Source organism: Homo sapiens, chromosome 16 (genome assembly GCF_000001405.40).
Source record: "Homo sapiens chromosome 16, GRCh38.p14 Primary Assembly".
NCBI lineage: Eukaryota > Metazoa > Chordata > Mammalia > Primates > Hominidae > Homo > Homo sapiens.
In genome coordinates this window covers 89,575,497-89,597,450 of record NC_000016.10, presented here as the reverse complement: position 1 = coordinate 89,597,450, position 21,954 = coordinate 89,575,497, and the positions used below count along the sequence as shown (strand labels likewise).

General features: G+C 60.6%; 1 protein-coding gene across 13 annotated transcripts; it reads right to left on the bottom strand.

The window, feature by feature from the left end:
* Positions 1 to 204: 204 nt before the first annotated feature.
* CPNE7 (copine 7) lies at positions 205 to 21,693 on the bottom strand. 13 transcript variants are annotated; one of them, XM_017023138.3, is made up of 18 exons: positions 21,380 to 21,693; positions 19,730 to 19,912; positions 18,455 to 18,594; positions 13,923 to 14,007; positions 13,680 to 13,754; positions 13,349 to 13,423; positions 12,594 to 12,677; positions 11,898 to 11,987; positions 11,666 to 11,764; positions 10,695 to 10,781; positions 10,349 to 10,408; positions 8,643 to 8,776; positions 7,500 to 7,554; positions 6,393 to 6,444; positions 6,191 to 6,324; positions 1,848 to 2,084; positions 1,527 to 1,620; positions 205 to 967 (listed from the first exon to the last, which is right to left on the bottom strand). In XM_017023138.3, exons 1-18 carry the CDS (start codon positions 21,551 to 21,553, stop codon positions 813 to 815), a joined length of 2,013 nt encoding a protein of 670 aa, XP_016878627.1. In that variant the 5' UTR covers positions 21,554 to 21,693; the 3' UTR covers positions 205 to 812. The 13 variants fall into 13 exon arrangements, with proteins under 13 accessions (XP_016878627.1, XP_016878628.1, NP_055242.1 ...); XM_017023139.3 differs by lacking the exon at positions 1,527 to 1,620 and having other exon boundaries at positions 19,730 to 19,924; NM_014427.5 differs by lacking the exon at positions 1,527 to 1,620.
* Positions 21,694 to 21,954: the final 261 nt, after the last annotated feature.

Below are 21,954 nucleotides of genomic sequence, written 5' to 3'. Positions count from 1 at the left end.
TGGAGCTCCTTCGCGGGTGGAGGCAGCCATGGTGCGGATCCCCGCTCTCTGCCCCTGGCAGCCTGTGCATCCCGCATCCCATTCAGTCCAGGGAGGATCCTGGTGTGCTGGGCCTGGGAGAGCCCCTGCCTCAGATGTGGGCACTTTGGAAGCCAGGCCCAGCCCTCTGGGGGGTTGGGGAAGGGACTGAAGGCACAAGAGAACTACAAGGATAGGGTGACACTTTATTACTCCTGAAGCCCCACCGGCAGAACCCACAGGCCAGGCAGACCCCGCAGACCCCGCAGACCCCATGGACCCAGGTGCAGAGGCCCGACGGCAAAAAGCACAGGGTAGGTGGGTGTGGGGGCACCAGCAGGGACAGGAGGCTGACTGTGGGGACAGGATGTCTGGGTCCCCAGGCTTTGACTGTGGGGACAGGTGTCTGGGTCCCCCAGGCTTTCTCGGGCGTGGGGGGACTGCCTTGCTGGCCCTCCCCCACAAAGGTTAGACGCAAAGCAGAGCCCCCAGTCCCTGCCCCTTCTCATCGGGGCAGGGTCTCCCGTGGATGAACTCCCAGCTCCCTCCAAGTCCCTCATGATCTCCCTCCCTCCACCCACCTGGCTCAGGCAGGGCCAGGCATGGGGGCCTGTATTTTGTCACCCTTCGGCCTTGGGGGCCCCAGAGCCGGGCCCAAGCCAGCAGGATCCCAGGAGGACTGGGAGTGGGGCCTGGTGGGGACTGGAGGCTTCTGGGAGGTCGGAGGGAGCTTAAGGGACCCCAAGCATGTTGCAGACAGAGGCTGTACGGACCCATTCCTCACTGCCCCCACCCTACGCCCTCCACATCTTCACGGTGTGCAGCCTGGGCTGGCCTCTCCGGCAGGGACACCCAGGCTTCTCGGGGGCAGGCCTCTGTGGCTGTAGTACTCCACCACCTGCTTCGGGACCTCGGCCAGCACGCACTTGGCCAGCGCCGCAGGGGATGCCTGGAGGATGGGACAACGCAGTTACCTCTGGGACCTTCGAGATGGAGATCATCCGTCCCTGCAACTGGATTATGGCCCAGGCCTCATCCTCCAGAGCCGAGTGGTGACTACCCACCCCCACCAGAGGCTCACCTGGGTGCCGGGCAAGACTTGCTGAGGATGTCGGCCACATGAGGCTGCACGTGGGTCTTTCCAGCCCCCCAAGCACGGAGATGAAAAGTGCTGACACGGGAGGCGAGGCCACCTCCATGGTCCAGGCCCCACCCACACTTCCCCGGCAAAGCCTGAGCGTGTCTGTGTGATGTGACTCACTGCAGAGCTTCATGTGTCTGTAATATGCATGTTTCACTGCGTAGAATGTCACGTGTCCGTGTCTTCATGCATGTCTGTGGTGTCTTGCTGTGTAGAACTTCACATCTATGTGGCATGCACGTCTTGCTGTAGGGCCTCATGTGTGACATGTGTGTCTTGCCTGGTAGAACCTCACGTGTGTGCTGTGCGTCTCACCGGGTAGAACCTCACGTGTGTGCTGTGTGTGTCTCGGCGGGTAGAACCTCACGTGTGTGCTGTGCGTGTCTCGCCGGGTCGCAGAGGTTGGCAGCAACGGGGGAAGCCGCGTGGTGGATCCCAGGAGCCCCTTGTGCTGTTCTCTGCTTTTGTGTAGATTCGACAAGTTTCAAAACGGTGGAGGGTGTTTCAGGTGCTCAAAGTCCTGGCTTCAGATACTGCTCTTGACTGGGGGGAACAGCCCAGGATCCCCCAGACACAAGAAGGGACCTGCCACATCCACTGGCGTGAGCCTGGCCTGGGAAGGTCTTGGGCAGTGACATGAACAGGGACCCCCAAGCCGGCCTTGACGGAGCCCCTCCAGGACACTCACGTTCTTGAGCTCCCGGAAGGGCACGAACTGTACGATGTCCCGGAGCGCGGGCTCACCCCGTGGGGAGCGCAGGACGCCGTCGTCGCCGTCCAGGACCTGCATGTCGGTGAAGTCGGCGTTGCCCACGCCCACGATGATGATGGACATGGGCAGGCGTGAGGCACGCACAATGGCCTCCCGTGTGTCGGCCATGTCGGTCACCACGCCGTCCGTCAGGATCAGCAGGATGTAGTATTGCTGGGGGCACAGGAAAGGCATCAGCAACACCACACCTGCCATGGCCCACATGCGCCCTGCAACCCACGGGCCCCCAGACAGCCCAGAGTGCCTCCGTGCGTCAGAGCTTCCTAGAACCGCCTTCAGAGTGTGATGCCTACATCACAAACATCACGAACAACAGTGGGTCAGGAGCCCCCTCCGTGGCGGGCACTCTGGGCCTCCTGTGCCCAGCTCAGGAAATCTCCACGAGTCTCACGGAGGGCTGTGGAGGGGGTGCTACGAAGTCTACATTTTACTGATGAGCTCACAGTGCCTGGATGGGAGGTCTGAGGCCAGAGGAGAAATCTGCGATCCCAGGAGCCAGACCTGCAGCCCACACACCCTGCTCCAGTCTCTCCAGGGTGCCCGCTGTGCTGCCACAAGACTGAGTGTTGGCCGGACGCGGTGGTTCACGCCTGTAATCTCAGCACTTTGGGAGGCCGAGGCGGGCGGATCACCTGAGGTCAGGAGTTCGAGACCAGCCTGGCCAAAATGGTGAAACCCCATCTCTACTAAAAATACAAAAACTAGCTGGGCGTGGTGGTGGGCGCCTGTAATCCCAGCTATTCGGGAGGCTGAGGCATGAGAATCGCTTGAACTTGGGAGGCAGAGGGTGCAGTGAGCTGAGATCGCGCCATTGCACTTCAGCCTGGCGATAGAGTGAGACTGTCTCCAAAAAAAAAAAAAAAAAAAAAAAAAAAAAGGCAGAATGGAACTTCAAATAAAATCAACTTCCATTGTTTAAAAAAAACCCCACTCAATAATCTTGCCCAAACTGTGGACAACGGGAAACATAAAGAGAAGCAGGGCTCGCCTGAGCAGCAGAGCGGGAGCCCACAGCAGCCTCCCCTGGGCTGGCCTTGACTGAGCCCGTCCCACTGAGGGCAGATGTGTCCTGGAAACGAACAGGGGCCCCAGGACCCCACTCAGAGTCGCCTTCTCCAAGAGGCTCTCTTTTTGTGCCCTCCCCATCTCCCCCTCTCTGAGCCCCACACCTGTGGGAAGAATTACCTGTTTGCAAGGCAGTCTCTGGTCCAGGCCTACAAGCACCCACGGCTGTGCCCAGCCTGGCTCTCGGCCTCCAGATAAACAGCCCAGCCTCAGAAAGCCCCCCACCCCCTCCCAACCCCAGATGAGGCCCCCACCCCCCTCTGCCAACTGTGCGAGCACCAGGCACCAAAACCCACCGTGGGGCCCCACTAGGGCGGGAGCTTCGTGTCCAGGAGAGGGACCGAGGGCTCAGCTGATCATGTCTGAGTCCTCGTTTCAACCCAATTCTAACCACAGAAAACCATGTCACGGGTAAGACAACAGGAAACACAAACACCAGACGGATGTGCAATGCCAGGAGTGGTGGTTAGGTGTGATCAGGTGTCGTGGCTGCTTAAAAAGAGGCTTATCTTTATTAGACGCTGATACTGACATTTACAGATGAAACCGTCTGAGACCCGCTTCCCAGCCACACAGGAACATAACAGCTGAACGCAATCCTCGACTCCGGACTGGCTCCTGGGCCAGGAACAATACTGCTTTGAAAGTTATGATTGTGCCAATGAATGAAATTGGAATATAGTCTATGTATTAGATAAAAGGATTGTATCTAAATTCAATTTCCTGAAATCTGTATTTGTGCTATGGTTATACAAGAGAATATCTTTGATCTTAGGAAATATACACTGAAATAGTAAGAGGTAGGCCGGGCGCGGTGGCTCACGCCTGTAATCCCAGCACTTTGGGAGGCCGAGGTGGGCGGATCACGAGGTCAGGAGATCGAGACCATCCTGGCTAACACAGTGAAACCCCGTCTCTACTAAAAATACAAAAAATTAGCCGGGCGTGGTGGCGGGCGCCTGTAGTCCCAGCTATTTGGGAGGCTGAGGCAGGAGAATGGCGTGAACCCGGGAGGCGGAGCTTGCAGTGAACCAAGATCGCGCCACTGCACTCCAGCCTGGGTGAAGAGCGAGACTCCATCTCAAAAAAAAAAAAATATTAAGAGGTAAAACCGTGATGTTGCAACGTGCTCTCGGACGGTTCACAAATGTGTGTGTGCAGTGCCAAGTTTTTTAAAAAGCATCAAAGTCTTTATCACGATACTATCTGTATAAATTAAAAATAGATGCAAACAGATATAGGGTTCCCATTTGGCTTGAAGATGTAAGTAGACGGGTGATGTTTGATCATCATGAATGTACCTCGTGCCTCTGAACTGGATACAATAAAATGGTTACAGGCCAGGTGCGGCGGCTCACACCTGTAATCCCATCCCAGCACTTTGGGAGGCTGAGGCAGGCAGATCACTTGAGGTCAGGAGTTTGAGACCAGCCTGGCCAAGACAGTGAAACCCCATCTCTACAAAAATATAAAAATTAGCCGGGTATGGTGGCGGGCGCCTGTACTCCCAGCTACTCAGGAGGCTGAGTCAGGAGAATGGCGTGAACCCGGGAGGCGGAGCTTGCAGTGAGCCGAGATCACGTCACTGCACTCCAGCCTGGGTGACAAGAGTAAAACTCCATCTCAAAAAAAAAAAAAAAAAAAGAAAAGAAAAAAATGGTTACAATGGTAAATTTTAAACTGTGCATATTTTATCACAATAAAAAAAATTTGGGCTGGGCGCGGTGGCTCACTCCTGTAATCCCAGCACTTTGGGAGGCCGAGGCGGGTGGATCACAAGGTCAGGAGTTTAAGACCAGCCTGGCCAAGACTGTGAAACCCCGTCTCTACTAAAAATACAAAAAATTAGCCGGGCGTGGTGGCGGGAGCCTGTAATCCCAGCTACTCGGGAGGCTGAGGCAGGAGAATTGCTTGAACTCGGAGGGTGGAGCTTGCAGTGAGCCGAGATTGCACCACTACAGCTTGGGTGACAGAGCAGGACTCTATCTCAAAAAAAAAAAAAAAAATTGAAAAAGAAAACATACAAATACAACAACTACACAGACGTGAAGCAGGAGCGCAATGTGTGAGCAGCTGTTGGCCTCACGGGTTGCAGGACCTCAGAGCTCTTGTAACTTTTTGGTGAGTTTAAAATTATTTTGGGCCGGGCGCGGCGGCTCACACCTGTAATCCCAGCACTTTGGGAGGCCGAGGCGGGTGGATCACGAGGTCAGGAGATCGAGACCATCCTCGCTAACACGGTGAAACCCCGTCTCTACTAAAAATACAAAAAAAAAAAATTAGCCGGGCATGATGGTGGGCGCCTGTAGTCCCAGCTACTTAGGAGGCTGAGGCAGGAGAATGGCGCGAACCTGGGAGGGGGAGGTTGCAGTGAGCGGAGATTGCGCCACTACACTTCCAGCCTGGGTGACAGAGCGAGACTCCGTCTCAAAAAAAAAAAACAACAAAAAAAAGAATGCCGGGCACGGTGGCTCACGCCTGTAATCCCAGCACTTTGGGAGGCCGAGGCGGGTGGATCATGAGGTCAGGAGTTTGAGACCAGCTTGGCCAACAGGGTGAAACCCCGTCTCTACTAAAAATACAAAAATTAGCCAGAAGTGGTGGCGGGCGCCTGTAGTCCCAGCTCCTTGGGAGGCTGAGGCAGGAGAATGGCGTGAACCCCGGGAAGCAGAGGTTGCAGTGAGCTGGGATCACATCACTGCACTCCAGCCTGGGTGACAGAGTGAGACTCTGTCTCACAAAAAACAAAAGAAAAGAAAAGAAAGCAGCAGGCTGGCTGTGGCCCCAGAGACACATACAGGGCCACACGGTGGCAGAGTAGAATCCAGTGCAGTTCTCGGCACCGTATCATTTGTGCAAAGGAAAGACACATGTAAACAAAATGACGATACACACACAGCCAAACAGTAGACATGTGCGCGGCCTTGTGGTGCCCAGAGGAAGAGGAGAGGGGCAGCCTCGCTGCAGCCATGGCCGTGACCGTGTGAGGCGATGGACAGCCCTGTGCCCGAGACACCTGCACCTTTGAGGGAGACGTAGTCAACCAGCTGGGCCCCCGCCCTCCTGAGCTCTGTCCTGCCTGGGGGCCTCTGCGCTGGCTGTTCCCTCTGCCAGGTGCCTCCCTGACGTCCACGCGCTGGTGCACACACAGCCGACCCCACACCAAGCATGCACCACACCCCCCGGGCACCTACAGAGGCTTTCCCGGTGCTCTCCTCGGCCGCCGCCACGCGTGCCACCTTGGAGATGATGGGCGCCACGTTGGTGGGGCCGTAGAGCTGGACCCTGGGCAGGCAGTTCTGGTAGGCCTCCACCACGCCCTGGATGCCTGTGGGGGGCAGGGGGTGAGCCCGGCCCCCCTGCACTCCCCTCCCCAGGCCTGCCTCGAGCTCCTACCTTCACACTCATCGTCCTCAGGGTTGAAATTGATGGCAAAGTCATGGGACACCTGGGTGGGAACAAGAGGGCTCAGTCAGCTGCTCGTTGCAACACACCCCACTGGCCCCATGTCCCTCGGTCAGCTGCTCCCCCCGTCCCCAGCCCCCATGTCCCCCAGTCAGCTGCTCCCCCCGTCCCCGCCCTCATGTCCCCCGCCTACTAAAGAGGGCTCGGTCAGCTGCTCCCCCCGTCCCCGGCCCCCATGTCCCCCAGTCAGCTGCTCCCCCCGTCCCCGGCCCCCATGTCCCCCAGTCAGCTGCTCCCCCGACCTGGCCCCCATGTCCCCCACCTACTGAGAGAGGTAGGCTTGGAGTTTCTAGGGGAAGCCAAACCCATGGGTGACCATGTTCTGCAGAGTCATGAAACAGAGAGGGAGGCAGACCTCCCTGGATCCAGCAGTGCCTGAGGCTTACATTAGCCAATAAATCCCCACACACCATTTTTTCTGCTGAAGCCAGTTGAAGTTTTTTGTTGTTTTCTTTTTTCTTTTTTAAAACAGAGTCTTGCTCTACAGGCCAGGCTGGACTGCAGTGGTGCGATCTCAGCTCAGTGCAACCTCTGCCTCCCGGGTTCAAGCAATTCTCTTGCTTCAGCCTCCCGAGTAGCTGGGATTACAAGCATGTGCCACCACGCCCAGCTAATTTTTGTATTTTTGGTAGAGATGGGGTTTCACCATGATGGCCAGGCTGGTCTGGAACTCCTGACCTCAGGTAATCGGCCCGCCTCGGCCTCCCAAAGTGCTGGGATTACAGGCGTGAGCCACCACGCCTGGCCGAAGCTAGCTGAATTGTTATGTGCAATAGAGGATTCCACACTAACGTCCTTCCCTATCTCCTGAAGGAACACGGAGTTGGCCTCCAGACACCCCTCAAGCTAACAAGTCCTAGGAGGCCAAAGGCCAGCCTCTCTGGCTAGAAGGCTGGGGTTCCCGCTTTGCACCCCAATCCCATCCTACAGTCTCCGGTTCCCAGCAGGCAGCCAGGGCTCCCTGGGCCAGGCCGTCCTCTGCCTGGGAGGGCACGAGAAGGGCACAGCTCTGAGGTCTCAGGTTCTGGGCTCTCCTACCTCATACTTGGGAGGGATCCGGGCTCCAAACCCCAAAGCGGAAAACCTCTTGTCACTGGAAGAGAGGCAGGAGGTCACCAGGAGGCCCTGACCTCTTGTGGCTGCAACAGGGGCCACTTCTAGGGAGACATGACTGGCGCCCAAAAGACTGGGGGTGCCCAGGCCTGGTACCACGGCAGTAAGCACCTGCCAGAGGTGGGGAACCGAGGCTCAGGGCAGCAGAGGCACAGGCCTGTGTGCAAGGGGACACGGTCCTGCCGCCCGCGAGCCTGCCTCCCAACTCCACGTTTGTGTACATGCTGTCCCCCTGCAGACGCCTCCCCGGGGGCTCTCAGACCACGGGAGGGGTCCTGTGGGGCCAAGGAACCCACTGTGGCCCTCACCAACCCAGAAAGAGAGGTCTGTAGGGTAGGGAGCTCAGGGCATCCTCTCCCAAGCCCCAGGCCAGGGGTCTGTGTTGTGGTAAGAAGCTCAGAGCACAGGGTTTTGTGCCGGGCCCTCCCTGGTAAAGCATACGCGGGTGAGCCCCAAGCCTCTGTGACTTCGGTTTGCTATTCTGGCAAAGCGGGACACAGACGTCCCCCCAGGACCATGTGCAGAGTCTATGCGGCAGCCTCCAGTAGGGCTACCCAGCCCTTCCTCGCAGAGTCTCTTTTTTTTGAGACGGAGTCTTGCTCTGTCACCCAGGCTTGAGTACAAAGGTGTGATCTTGACTCACTGTAACCTCCGCCTCCCGGGTTCCAGTGATTCTCCTGCCTCAGCCTCCTGAGTAGCTGGGATTACAGGCATCTGCCACCACGCCCAGCTAATTTTTGTATTTTCAGTAGAGATGGGGTTTCACCATGTTGGCCAGGCTGGTCTCAAACTCCTGACCTCAGGTGATCCACCCGCCTCGGCCTCCCAAAATGCTGGGATTACAGGCATGAGCTACCGCGCCCGGCCCCTCACAGTCTGACAAACTCACAGTGCCCACCTCATGGTGCCCCGAGGCCTGACCTGGAGCCCAGGGGGGTGAGGGAAAACCGGCCGGGTGCACCTGTCATAGCTGACCTGGAGACCAGGGGGGTGAGGGGGAAGACGGCCAGGCGCACCTGTCATAGCTGACCTGGAGACCAGGGGGTGAGGGGAAGGTGGTGGGCGCACCTGTCATAGTCCTGGCAGATCTCGCCCACGGACACCAGTGCCTTCAGGTACTCGTTCGGCTGGTAGGGGTTGATGTAGTGCAGGGAGCAGCTGTTCCGCGGGTCTCCATTGGAGGCGGTGAAGTCAATGGCCACCTGCAGTGGGCCGGGAGCCAGGAGCTGTGCTGGGCCGGGGCTCCCCGAACCCGCTCCTGACAGGTAGAGAAACCACGCCCAGAGTGGCCAGGACTCAGGGTCAGGGGTCGCGTAGGTGGGTAGGGCTGGGGGGCTGCTGTTGGGGCTGACCCACCTGCTACACAGGGCCAGGAGAGGTCTCCTCAAAACCTGCCAGCCCCTAGGCTCCCTGGATCTCCGGGAGGACACCCCACCAGGATCACCCTGGCCTTGTGGGGGCCCCGCCCATCCTTCTTAGTGGCCGCCCAACCCCTCTACCACCCTCCCCGGCAGGGCCTAAGTGGACCAAGCCTGGTCTGGGTCCCCCCACGTTTCCCACTTGCTGGCTTCTCCCAAAGCCATTCTGGGGCTCGTTCAACAAAACACGAACCAGCGCATCTGCAAATAACACGCGGGTGACACGGGGGCCGTGTATCTGTGGGTGACACGCGGGTGACACGGGGGCCGTGTATCTGTGGGTGACACGCGGGTGACACGGGGGCCGTGTATCTGTGGGTGACACGCGGGTGACACGGGGGCCGTGTATCTGTGGGTGACACGGGGGCCGTGTATCTGTGGGTAACACGGGGGGCCGTGTATCTGTGGGTGACACGCGGGTGACACGGGGGGCCGTGTATCTGTGGGTAACACGGGGGGCCGTGTATCTGTGGGTGACACGGGGGCCGTGTATCTGTGGGTAACACGGGGGGCCGTGTATCTGTGGGTGACACGCGGGTGACACGGGGGCCGTGTATCTGTGGGTGACACGCGGGTGACACGGGGGGCCGTGTATCTGTGGGTAACACGGGGGCCGTGTATCTGTGGGTGACACGCGGGTGACACGGGGGGCCGTGTATCTGTGGGTGACACGGGGGCCGTGTTTCTGTGGGTGACACGCGGGTGACACGGGGGCCGTGTATCTGTGGGTGACACGGGGGTGCTATGGGGGTGACACGGGGTGTGCGTATCTATGGGTGACGCGGGGTCTGCGGGTGACATGGGGGTGACACGGGGTCTGTGCCGGGCTCCTTGGATGACACGTAGAGACTGTGGCTGGTTCACTCAAACGCTCACTCCAGTTTCTCCTCGTTCACGTTTTGTCTGTTGTTAAATGTGTTTGTGGAAGGTAAGCCCTGGTGATGTCACCTCCCAAGGCGGGCTTGGGGCTGCTTCCTGAACCCCAAGCCCGTTTCCTCGCCTGCGCAAAAGGGAGGACCCCCAGGAGCCGCGCATGGAGACATCGGCTCACGGGGAACCGCCAGTGCCCTTTCACCCGCCAGGCTGGGACCCCTCGGGAGCGGGGCGGGGGCGGGGGCGGGGGCGGGGCCACGGACTGAGGGGGCGGGGATGGGCGGGGCCACAGACTGAGGGGGCGGGGATGGGCGGGGCCACAGACTGAGGGGGCGGGAGGGGCGGGGCCACGGACTGAGGGGGCGGGGATGGGCGGGGCCACAGACTGAGGGGGCGGGGAGGGGCGGGGCCACGGACTGAGGGGGCGGGGCGGGGCGGGGCCACGGACTGAGGGGGCGGCATGGGGCGGGGCCATGGACTCACGGTGAAGTGGATCTGGCAGCCGCCCATGATATAGTCCAGGAAGGAGTACACCCTGTGGAACTTCCGGCCGGCGGAGTCAGCGTCCACCCCCGCCAGGGACACTGAGGCCAGTGCCAGCTGGGATCCAGGCCTGCCTCCCGCAGGCAGCCCAGTCCCTCTGGGGTGCCACCCTCCTCTCCTCTCCCCCATCCTCTCTCCCCAACCTCGCCCTTCCCCGTCTCTCAGCCCCTCCCCAGACGTGCTGGGGCCCACCAGGCCTCTGGTTGAGGGTCCATCCAACAATCAGAGGGAGGCAGCGGAAGCCCCTCTTGTGGGTGGGGAGGCTTCGGGCACAGCCACCTCTCACCTTGAGGTCAGCCAGGACGACCACTCCTGAGTTCTTATAACTGCGTCTCTTCTGCTTGTATTTGGGGTTCACACAGTCCCACTGGGCCTGGGGCAGGAACAAGCAGAGGCCCCCCAGAGTGGTGGCTCTGAACACCTACCAGGGAGACCCTACCCAAGACCATCCCCAATAGCGACGGCAGAGGGCCCCGTGGTGGGGAGGGGAGGGGAGGGCACTGCTGCAGGGCAGCAGGAAGGGGCAGAGTGGGTCATACGGGAATGAAGAGGGATGGGAGTTGCATCCCCCACCCGGCATGGCCCTGTCATTAAGCCCAAGGACACTGAGGCCCAGGGACGGGGGAGGAAGCAGGGCCCAGGGTGGCCTCCCCACTGCACCCTCACCCGGCTGCTGTGGGCTGGGCAGACACAGGGGAGGGCACCCCTTGGCCCCACCTCCCACCACCCCTGTGCCCAGACCCAGATGGTGCCTGAAATGTCCAGCTGAACCTGATGGGGGCCACCCCTGCTATGACCCCTCAGGAGCCAGCACCAGGGTCCACCATCCTCAGCCTTCTCTGGTTATAACAAGTCATTGTCACCACTCCCCACAACCCCATCAGGACAGTGGGACAGGGTTTCACAGCCTCTGTGGCAGGGCCAACACAGGCGTAGCCCAGGTGTGCCCCCGACTCACCTGCCCCTCCCCAGAGGCCCCCCTCACCTGCCCCTCCCTGAATGCCCCCTCCCCCTGCTAACTGCCCCTCCCTGGAGGCCCCCCTCACCTGAACCTCCCCAAAGGCCCCCCCAACCTGCTCCTCCCCAGAGGTGCCCACCCACATGCCCCTCCACGGAGGCCCCTACCCCACCCCCCACCTCCTCACCTGACACTTCCTGGAGGTACCCCCCCAGTCCTGCTCACCTACCCCTCCCCGAAGGCCCCCCTCCACCCCCACCTGACCCTCCCTGGAGGACCCCCTACCCCGTCCTGCTCACCTGCCCCTCCTCAAAGGCCTTCTGCATCTCCTCGAAGGTGGTAGAGAATTCTCCGATGAAGTCGTGCTTTCCTCGAGAGTCGTAATCCCAGACCAGGCACTGGGGAGCCCAGTCCTCCTCAGCACTGCTGTCTGGGGGCCCCAGGACCCTCCCACCCGAGCCCAGGTGTCTCCATCGCAGCCCACATCCAGGCCACCCCCTCACTGCCCCCTTGGTCCATCCCGTCCCCCACCTTTAGAGGCCTTGTCTCCTCGCAGCTGCAGAGGGAACTCAGAGAGACTTTGAAGGCCTCCCACACCGGGTTCAGGTTGTTCTTCACCACCTGTGGGCCGGGAGGGGCTGGCTCAGGGGAGGCCCAGGGCCCTGGGATCCTTGGGGGGGATAGAGACCTGGGTGGAAGAGCAGCTGTGAGGCGGGCACAGCTGGCCCTGCCCCTGCATCACCCCAGACAGCGCCGGGGCCCTGAGCTGGGGCTGGCACCCACTCCCTGCACGAAGCCATGTGAGGACCCGGGAGACACATTTCCGAGCCCTGTGCCTCCACCTTCGTAACTTCTGCCACCTCTGAGCCACCTGCGCTGCTCTCTTCCTTAAATAGATTCATTTTCACTCAAGTTAATTTCTCTCAAAAGAAAGCACTCTCTCCCTGCCGTCGCTGAAATCCCATTTCACCTGCAGGAAGTGGAAGGTAGGTCTAAAAATAATCACAGCCACGACTACACAAGCCTGCTGGATTCTGGCCACAGCCACGGCCCCCAGGGCCCTGCGCCTGCGGCTCCCTGTTGGATTCTGGCCATAGCCACAGCCACCAAAGCCCTGCGCCCACAGCTCCCTGTTGGAGGCTGGGAGCTCCTCCCATGTGGCCAGAGATGCGTGAGGGCTGGGGACAGCCCCTTCCCCTCCCTGTGTTCCCATCCCCGGCCGCTCACCTCCGTCCTGTACACCAGCTGCAAGCCCTGGTCGTCGTTGACCCTGTAGAGCTCCAGGAAGGGGTCGGACTTGCTGAAGAGGTCCTGGGGAGAGGCACAAGGGCTGCTGGGCCAGGCACTGTGAGATCGGGCTTTGGATGGGAGCTGGCTTTGTCGTTTCCCAGGGCTCACTTCATGCCACCAGCCGCTAATTCCTCAGGCACAAAACGAGGCAGCCAGTCCCCGCCGACAGCATCTCGTCCCTCCCTCCCGCCCCCAGGGATCTGACCACGGCGGGCAACTCAGCCCTCCATGGAGTCACCCTGCACACCCTGCGACTCAGCCCTCCACGGACTTGCCCTACACACCCTGCGACTCAGCCCCTCCAGGGAGACGCCCTACATGGCGGGGTTGGACCCTGTTCTGCCCACCCACGTGACGAGCCCGCAGAACCGCGCGCTGTTCCAGTTCCTCCTGTCACGACAGTGGCCTCGGGGGTGCTGGGCCTATTTCCCCATCCCTGAGCAGGGTCATGAGTGGTCCCCACAGGAGGGAGCTGCCCCAGCCCCAGCCCAGCTGCCAGGAGGGGCGGGAGAGCTAATGGCGGTGACAGTGATGATGGCGACCGTGACGGCAGCACGCCCAGCCCCAGGCACACTCCGCACACGTCTCACACGGGACATAGCCACGCGAGGTCAGCGCTGGGCAGGGACCGGGTTTTCGAACCGGTTCCCGGACCTCAGCCTGAGCCAGGCGTGCCCGGCACCTGCACTCACCTTGTCGTCCAGCTTCCTGGCCCGGAAGGAGAGCTCCACGTAGCCGTTGTTCCCCGAGATGTCCTCGGCGATCACCTGGCAGGGGGACGCCCGGGCTCCAGGCTTGGCCAGGTGGGGCCTGACCCCACCGTGGGGGACCAGAGGCCCCAGGCTGGCTGACCCCACCCAGCGGGGCCTGAGAGGAGGTGTCTGTGTACCCCCGGGGCTGTGTAGCTGCCGGCTCCTGCAGACCCTCCCTGGACGGCACGCTGCTGCCCATCTTCCGCCCACAACACCCCTCGGAGCCACAGCAGCAGGGCCTGCAGGCTGCAGGGGTGCGCCCGGGTCTCACCGTGATGGTGGACTTGCCAGCGTTCCTGCCAAACTTGAGCAGCAGCGGGCGGGTCACCTTCTTCTGGGCCACAATCTGTAAGTCAGAGGCGTCAGGCAGGGAGGGGCAGGCGGGGACGGCTCCTGACCCTGGAGACCCCACCGCGCCCTCACCCGGACTCTCAGGCCTGTCCTGTCTCCCCATCCCCCACCATGAGCTTCACTGCCCAGGGCCCGCGCCCCCTTTGTGGCTGCTCTCAAGCACCTGCCATCCCTGCGTGTGGCCACCCCTGCACGTCCACCACCTCACGGCGCCAGCAGTCGCCCAGGGGAGGCAGAGGTCATCATACCTATTTACCAGGTGAGGAAACAGGCTCAGGTGGAAGCCAGGAAGCAGCTCACAGCCCAGCTGGCCTGCACCTGCACAGGTGTGGCGGACGCCCCTCCACAGGTAAGCAGGGCTGCCCTGACCCTCTCCAGGCCCAGGTGAGAACCCGCAGAAGCAGAGGCGAGGCAGCTCAAACGGCCCCGGACCCTCACGCCCAGCATGTCCACGTAGCCACGGGCGGCAGAAAGGGTGTGAGCGAGGTGCCGGCCCAGGACCCCACCGCCCACTCCTCTTCGAAGGTGCCAAGGAGCAGAGTTGATTGTTCGAAGTGGACTGGGGCTTAGACCCTGGGGACCTCCTCATGCAGCCGGGGCCTCCTCCTCCTCACCAGGCCCTGCTGGACTTCCGCCCCATCGGCTATGAGCCCACCTGGGGTGGGTGGCGGATGACAGGCCCAGGCCCCTGCAGCCAGGTCATCTCCTCAGTGAGGAGCAGGACGGGGGCACACGGCCCTCCCAGGCTCCGTGTCCGAAAGGAGATGGTGATGACCCCGGCCAAGCGGGGTGGCCGTCATCTCCTCACACGTAAGTGATCTCAGCAACCATCGAATGGCCCACCAGGTAGCAGGTGTGTGCTTCCCACCTGCCCTCACACCTGCTACTGCCTGGCGGATGCTGGGAGGTCACAATGAGGTAGGTTGAATACAAAGCAGAGAGGGGCAGTCCCTCCACCCCCAACCAGGGCCGGCCTGGCCAGCAGCTTCTGAGCATGCGGCACTTTCCACACAGAAGAGAAAGCAGATCCCAGGTCAGGGCTGGGGAAGTCAAGTCAGGTTAAGGGGTGGGAAGGCTCTCTTAGGGGTGCAAAGGGGTCCTGGGTGCTGGGAGGGGGAGCCTCGGGCCAGGCCCCCCAAGATTCCCTGATTCAAAGGTTTCCTTCTGGGGCTCCTGAGCCAGGGCCTCTGCCTCACACCTGGGACTCGCCTGCCGGCCTGGTTTGCTTCCAGGGAGGGCGCAGGAAAGGAGTGGCCTCCCCTTTCTGGCAGGAGAGCAGGTCCTTAGGAGAGAAACGGGCTCAGGCTAACACAACAGATTCCCCTACCAGGAAATACGAGATCGCTGATTTGTGCCAACAGCGTTTAATAAGCACTTCCTGGATCCCTGGCTCTGGGCTGAGTTACTGTTTACTTGAATCACATGAGGAAACAGTTGAGGCAGAAGTCAGGGGTCAGAGGTCAGGTCAGGCTCAAAGCCACAGCACAGGGACTGGATGCCAGTAGCTTCTCCCTTGACCGTGGTGCCCTGCAGGTCAGCTGGGTGGCCACAGAGCAGGAACCCACGAGGGGCCTCCTCATTGCTGGAAGTTTGCACATATCCACAGCACACGTGCTCACACACACATTCATATCTGCACGCAGGTGTCCACACGGACCCTGTGTGTGTGCTTATGTGAACAGGCATAGGATGTCCTGCACGGATTATGACATACATGTGCACCTGTGTGTACATAGAAAGGTGTCCAGGCCAGACACAGTGGCTCATGCCTATAATCCCAACATTTTGGGAGCCCAGGGTGGGTGGATCGGTGAGCCCGGGAGTTCAAGACCAGTTGGGGCAACATGGTGAGACCCCTGTCTCTTCAAAAAATGCAAAACGTAGCCAGGTCTGGTGGCGTACACCTGTAGTCCCAGCTACTCAGGAGGCTGAGGTGAGAGGATTGCTTGAGCACAGGCCGTTGAGGCTGCAGTGAGCTGTGACTGTCCCACTGCACTCCAGCCTGGGCGGCAGAGTGAGAACCCAACTCAAAAAAACAAAAAAAGCATGTCCATATTTCTGTGTCCGTGCCATCCTCTTCCATCTGTGCCCTCCCTAACTCTCAGTTTCCTTATCTAAAAAATGGGGAGGACAACAGGATCGATGGCACGCCAGCTCCGACCGAGGCTGCAGGGGGATGAGTCACGCAGACATTATGTTGGGTAAAAGAATTCCACAGCAGGGAGAACACGCGCTGTGATTCATGGACGTGGAATTCCAGAAGAGACGAACCAGGCGGGGAGCTGGCCACAAAGGGGCAGGGGCAGCTGCGGGTGACGGGATGTTCCGTGTGATGGGTGACGGGATGTTCCGTGTGACGGGTGATGGGATGTTCCGTGTGATGGGTGACGGGATGTTCTGTGTGACTGGTGACAGGATGTTCCGTGTGACGGGTGATCGGATGTTCCGTGTGAGTGGGTGATGGGATGTTCCATGTGATGGGTGATCAGATATTCCGTGTCAGCGGGAGACGGAATGTTCCGTGTGACGGGTGACGGGATGTTCCATGTGATGGGTGAGATGTTCTGTGTGATTGGTGAGATGTTCCATGTGACGGGTGATGGGATGTTCCGTGTGACAGGTGACGGGATGTTCCATGTGATGGGTTACGGGATGTTCCGTGTGACGGGTGACGGGATGTTCCGTGTGACAGGTGATGGGATGTTCCGTGTGATGGGTGAGATGTTCCATGTCAGCGGGTGACGGGATGTTCCGTGTGATGGGTGAGATGTTCCATGTGACGGGTGATGGGATGTTCCGTGTGACGGGTGATGGCATGTTCCGTGTGACGGGTGATGGGATGTTCCGTGTGATGGGTGACGGGATGTTCCGTGTTACAGGTGACGGGATGTTCCGTGTGACGGGTGAGATGTTCTGTGTCAGCGGGTGATGGGATGTTCCGTGTGATGGGTGAGATGTTCTGTGTCAGCGGGTGACGGGATGTTCCGTGTGACAGGTGAGATGTTCCGTGTGATGGGTGATGGGATGTTCCATGTGACGGGTGATGGGATGTTCCGTGTGACAGGTGAGATGTTCCGTGTCAGCGGGTGACGGGATGTTCCGTGTGATGGGTGAGATGTTCCGTGTGATGGGTGATGGGATGTTCCATGTGACGGGTGATGGGATGTTCCGTGTGACGGGTGAGATGTTCTGTGTCAGCGGGTGACGGGATGTTCCGTGTGATGGGTGAGATGTTCCGTGTGATGGGTGAGATGTTCTGTGTGATGGGTGATGGGATGTTCCGTGTGACGGGTGATGGGATGTTCCATGTGACGGGTGATGGGATGTTCCGTGTGACGGGTGATGGGATGTTCCGTGTGACGGGTGAGATGTTCTGTGTCAGCGGGTGACGGGATGTTCCGTGTGATGGGTGAGATGTTCTGTGTCTGCAGGTGATGGGATGTTCCGTGTGATGGGGGAGATGTTCCGTGTCAGCGGGTGACGGGATGTTCCGTGTGACGGGTGAGATGTTCTGTGTCAGCGGGTGACGGGATGTTCCGTGTGACGGGTGAGATGTTCTGTGTCAGCGGGTGACGGGATGTTCTGTGTGATGGGTGAGATGTTCCGTGTCTGCAGGTGATGGGATGTTCCGTGTGACGGGTGAGATGTTCCGTGTCAGCGGGTGACAGGATGTTCCGTGTGATGGGTGAGATGTTCCGTGTGATGGGATGTTCCGTGTGACGGGTGACGGGATGTTCCATGTGACGGGTGAGATGTTCTGTGTCAGCGGGTGACGGGATGTTCCGTGTGATGGGTGAGATGTTCCGTGTCAGCAGGTGACGGGATGTTCCGTGTGATGGGTGAGATGTTCCGTGTGATGGGTGTGGGATGTTCCGTGTGACGGGTGAGATGTTCCGTGTCAGCGGGTGACGGGATGTTCCGTGTGATGGGTGAGATGTTCTGTGTGATGGGTGATGGGATGTTCCGTGTGATGGGTGATGGGATGTTCCATGTGAGCAGATGACGGGATGTTCCATGTGATGGGTGAAGGGATGTTCCATGTGACGGGTGAGATGTGATGGGTGATGGGATGTTCCGTGTGATGGGTGAAGGGATGTTCTGTGTGACGGGTGAGATGTGATGGCTGACGGGATGTTCCGTGTCATGGGTGAGATGTGACAAGTGATGGGATGTTCTGTGTGATGGGATGTTCCGTGTGACGGGTGATCGGATGTTCCGTGTCAGCAGGTGACAGGATGTTCCGTGTGAGGGGTGAAGGGATGTTCTGTGTGACAGGTGAGATGTTCCGTGTGACGGGATGTTCTGTGTGACGGGTGATGGTCAGCTGTGTACAGTCACCTAAACTTGTCATTCTCAACCCTTAAGATTGATGCATTTTATCGTAAAATTTTTTTTTTTTTTTGAGACAAAGACTCACTGTCACCTGGGCTGGTGTGCAGTGGCGCGATCTCGGCTCGCTGAAACCTCTGCCTCCCAGGTTCAAGTGATTCTCCTGCCTCAGCCTCCCCAGTAGCTGGGACTACAGGCACGCACCACCACGCCTGGCTAATTTCTTTTCTATTTTTAGTAGAGATGGGGTTTCATCATGTTGGCCAGGCTGGTCTCGAACTCCTGACCTCGTGATCCCCCCACCTCGGACTTCCAAAGTGCTGCGATTACAGGCGTGAGCCACCGTGCCCGGCCTGTAAATTTTACCTCAATAAAAAAGAAGGACCCGTCCTGGCAAGGTGTGAGGATTCCGTGCAGCACAGGAAGTGCTTAGCGCAGTGTCCAGCAGGGCCCAGCACATCAACAGACACTCTCATCACGACTTGCAGAAGCCACTTTTGGGCTGGCTGTGGAGGCCGTAACCCAGAGAGCATCACCAAGGAAGCAGTGGCCACCGTAGGACCTGCTGCTCACAAGGAGGCTTCTTTTTTTTTTTTTTTTTTTGAGACAGAGTCTCAATCTGTCACTCAGGCTGGAGTGCAGTGGTGAGATCTCCACTCACTGCAACCTCTGCCTCCCGGGTTCAACCGATTCTCCTGCCTCAGCCTCCAGAGTAGCTGGGATTACAGGCACATGCCACCATGCCCGGCTAATTATTGTACTTTTTGTAGAGATGAGGTTTCAGCATGTTGGCCAGGCTGGTCTCGAACTCCTGACCTCAAGTGATCTGCCCGCCTCGGCCTCCCACAGTGCTGGGATCACAGGTGTGAGCCACCACGGCCGGCCACCAGGAGACTTTTAGGTGCTGATATGGAGGGGCTGCTGCACGTCGTGGAAGTGAAAACGCAGGATGCAGAACAGGGAACGTAATTTGTGTATTTTTGAAAAAAGAGGAAAAGTGGGCTGGGCACCGTGGCTCACGCCTGTAATCCCAGCACTTTGGGAGGACAAGGCAGGCGGATCACGAGGTCAGGATTTCAAGAGCAGCCTGACCAACATGGTGAAACCCCGTCTCTACTGAAAATACAAAAATTAGCCGGGCGTGGTGGCGGGTGCCTGTAATCCCAGCTACTCAGGAGGCTGAGGCAGGAGAATCGCTTGAACCCAGGAGGTGGAGGTTGCAGTGAGCCGAGATCACGCCACTGCACTCCAGCCTGGGTGACAGAGCGAGACTACATCTCAAAAAAAAAAAAAAAGAAAAAGAAAAAAAAGAAAAAAGAGGAAAAGTGATAGGCTGGTTTGCTCCTGTGAAAATCTCTCTCTGGACAATGTCCAGGGACCTGGCAGCAGCTGGATGGGGCAGGATGGAGGCGCTCCACAGCCTTTTATACCTTCAGGCTTTAAAACATACGAATGTATTACCCAGTTCAAAATTACATGTATATTTTAATCTAATAATGACTGTTCAGGAGGAGCTGAGGAGGGGGCAGAGCCAGGTTGGCCACCCCAGCAGGGTCCCTGCGGTGCTGGTACATCAGCCTTGAATCGGCTGTGGCCCCCACGCCAACCGTCCTCCTCCCTCCGAGGGGACGGGGCACCCACCTGCCCCAGGGTGCACTCCATGCCCCCCAGGAAATCGTCCTCCTGACAGCTGAAGCCGCTGGGCCCATGCGTGTCGTACACCTCAAAGCGCAGCCTCTGCACCTCCTCGAAGTAGTAGTCCACCGTGAAGACCTTGGAGAACACGGGATGCAGGCTGCTCCGGACCACCTCGGTTCTGCCCACCTGCAAGTGCACCTGTGAGCCGACCCCACTCCAGAGGCTTCCACCCCGGGCTCCAGACCTCCATCTCCCCTCTGCCGCTCACCCACGCCCAGGTACCTCAGGAGGACTCATACCCTGGGAAGACCTCCTGCCTGCTCTCTGTCCATGGGACCACAATCCCGAGGGCCACCCTGGGGGTCACCCCTGGCCACCACTGTCTGCTCCACCCTCAGATCACAGATGGGGAAAGTGAGGCTCACAGAGGACGAGAATGACACGCTGAGTCGGGGGCGAGATCAGATTCACACCCTGGGCTGGGCAGCCCTAAAGTGCAGGCCGCTCCCCAGCACCAGCTGAGTGGGGAGGGGGCGTAGGGTACAGGGGGGCCCTCCCTCCTGGCTGGGGTACCATGGGCTCACCAGCCTCTCCCATCCCATGCAGTTCCCTGGTCCAACTGCCCCGTAAGGACAAGACCCAGCTGGGCCAGTAGGCTACTCATTTCAGAATCCTGAAAAATCCTGCACCTCAAACCAAGGGCAAACATGGGCCACCCGTACAGCTCACGCTCTGAGGGTGCGGGCACGAGGCCTCCGTGGGGATGGTGGGCTCGGGATGTGAAGGGTGGGCTCAGGCTGTGAGGGGCGGGCACGGGGCCTCCGGGGGCAGCCGGAACCCTGGGGACAGGCGGTGAGGGCGGGGCAGGCCCTTCACCCTCAAGGTGGATGACCGGAGACGCCACCGGGTGACCGCGTCCCTTCCACCGCCCGAGCAGCCGCCCGGGCCCGCGCTGGAGCCTGGAGAGACCCCTGCGCCGGGGAAAAGCGCTGGCGCCCCGCGCGGACTGGGGTTCGAGTTCCGGCTCCTCCGCCCGCTGCGGCTTCGCGCCATGCGTTTCTCGCCCTTTCGAGGTGAAGCCACGCGTTTCACGCGAGATGGTGACCGAGGAAGCGCCCGTCTGGCGCCGGCCCCGTGCCCCTTCGGACCCCAACCGCGATCACAGCGGGTTCGCTTGAGACCCACGTTGGAGCGGGAGCCCCGGACGCCTGGAGGTCCGCACCCCAGCGCGCGCTCCCTCGCCGGCCTGCTCCCGCCCAGCCTCCCGCCCCCCGTCGGCCGGCGCCCCTCACCCCTCAATCTCCTTGCGCCTCTTGGTCGAGCCCCCTGCCCGCGCCTCATGCCTGGGCGCTTCACTCTGGCCCGGGGCCCCCTCCCCGAACCCTGGGCCGCACCCCTCACTGCGGGGCACCCCCCTCTCTCCTCCGAACCCCGCTCGCCGCCACCTCCTCCAGCCCAGCCTCTCCCCACAGCTCTGGACACCCCACCCCCAGACCTGGTAACCCCCAACCCTGACCCCGAGCTGAGCCCCAGCTCCGGGGGGCCCCGCCTTGCGCCCCACTGGCCTCAGCGCGCCCGCTCTGGTCTCCGCATCCCCAGCTCGGCGCCAGCCCCGGCCCGGTGGCCTCTCGGCCTCCCACGCCCCGGCCCTACCTGCACCCACTGGCCCTGCGCCTGCTGCAGCAACGCCACGCTGGGGTCGGACTTGGTGAGCGGGTCGCGGTCCAGCAGGTGCCGGCAGCTGAGCCGCAGCTCCACCTTCGAGGCGCAGGGCGCGGGCAAACCCCCGGGGGTTGCCGCCGCCCCGCGCTCCGAGCCCGCGCTCATGCTCCCGGCGTTCGGGGGCCCGGCTGGGCGCACTGAGGGGCCGCTGCCCGCGAGTCGGCGCCGCCGCGGCGCCCGGGAAATGGTGGCCGGCCCAGGCGTGGCCGCGCTTCCCTGAACGCCTGCCGGGCGCGGGCGCACGTGGCTCGGGCGGCCGCCGCGCGGGGACTGCAGGGGGTGGGGCGCGGCCGGGGGGCGGGGCCGGGGAGGGGCGCGGCGGGAAATGAGGGCAGGGGGCAGAGGCAGGGGTGCCCCTCGGAGATGCCCGGGAGGAGACAGCTTCTAATTCCCCGGGGACCCCCCCCCCAACTGATAGCTTTGGGGTCAGGTCGGGCGCGCCCTCCCCGGCTGTGCGCATCCCCGGCCCAGGGACCGGCTCCGGGCTGGAGGCTCCGAGCTGCGCG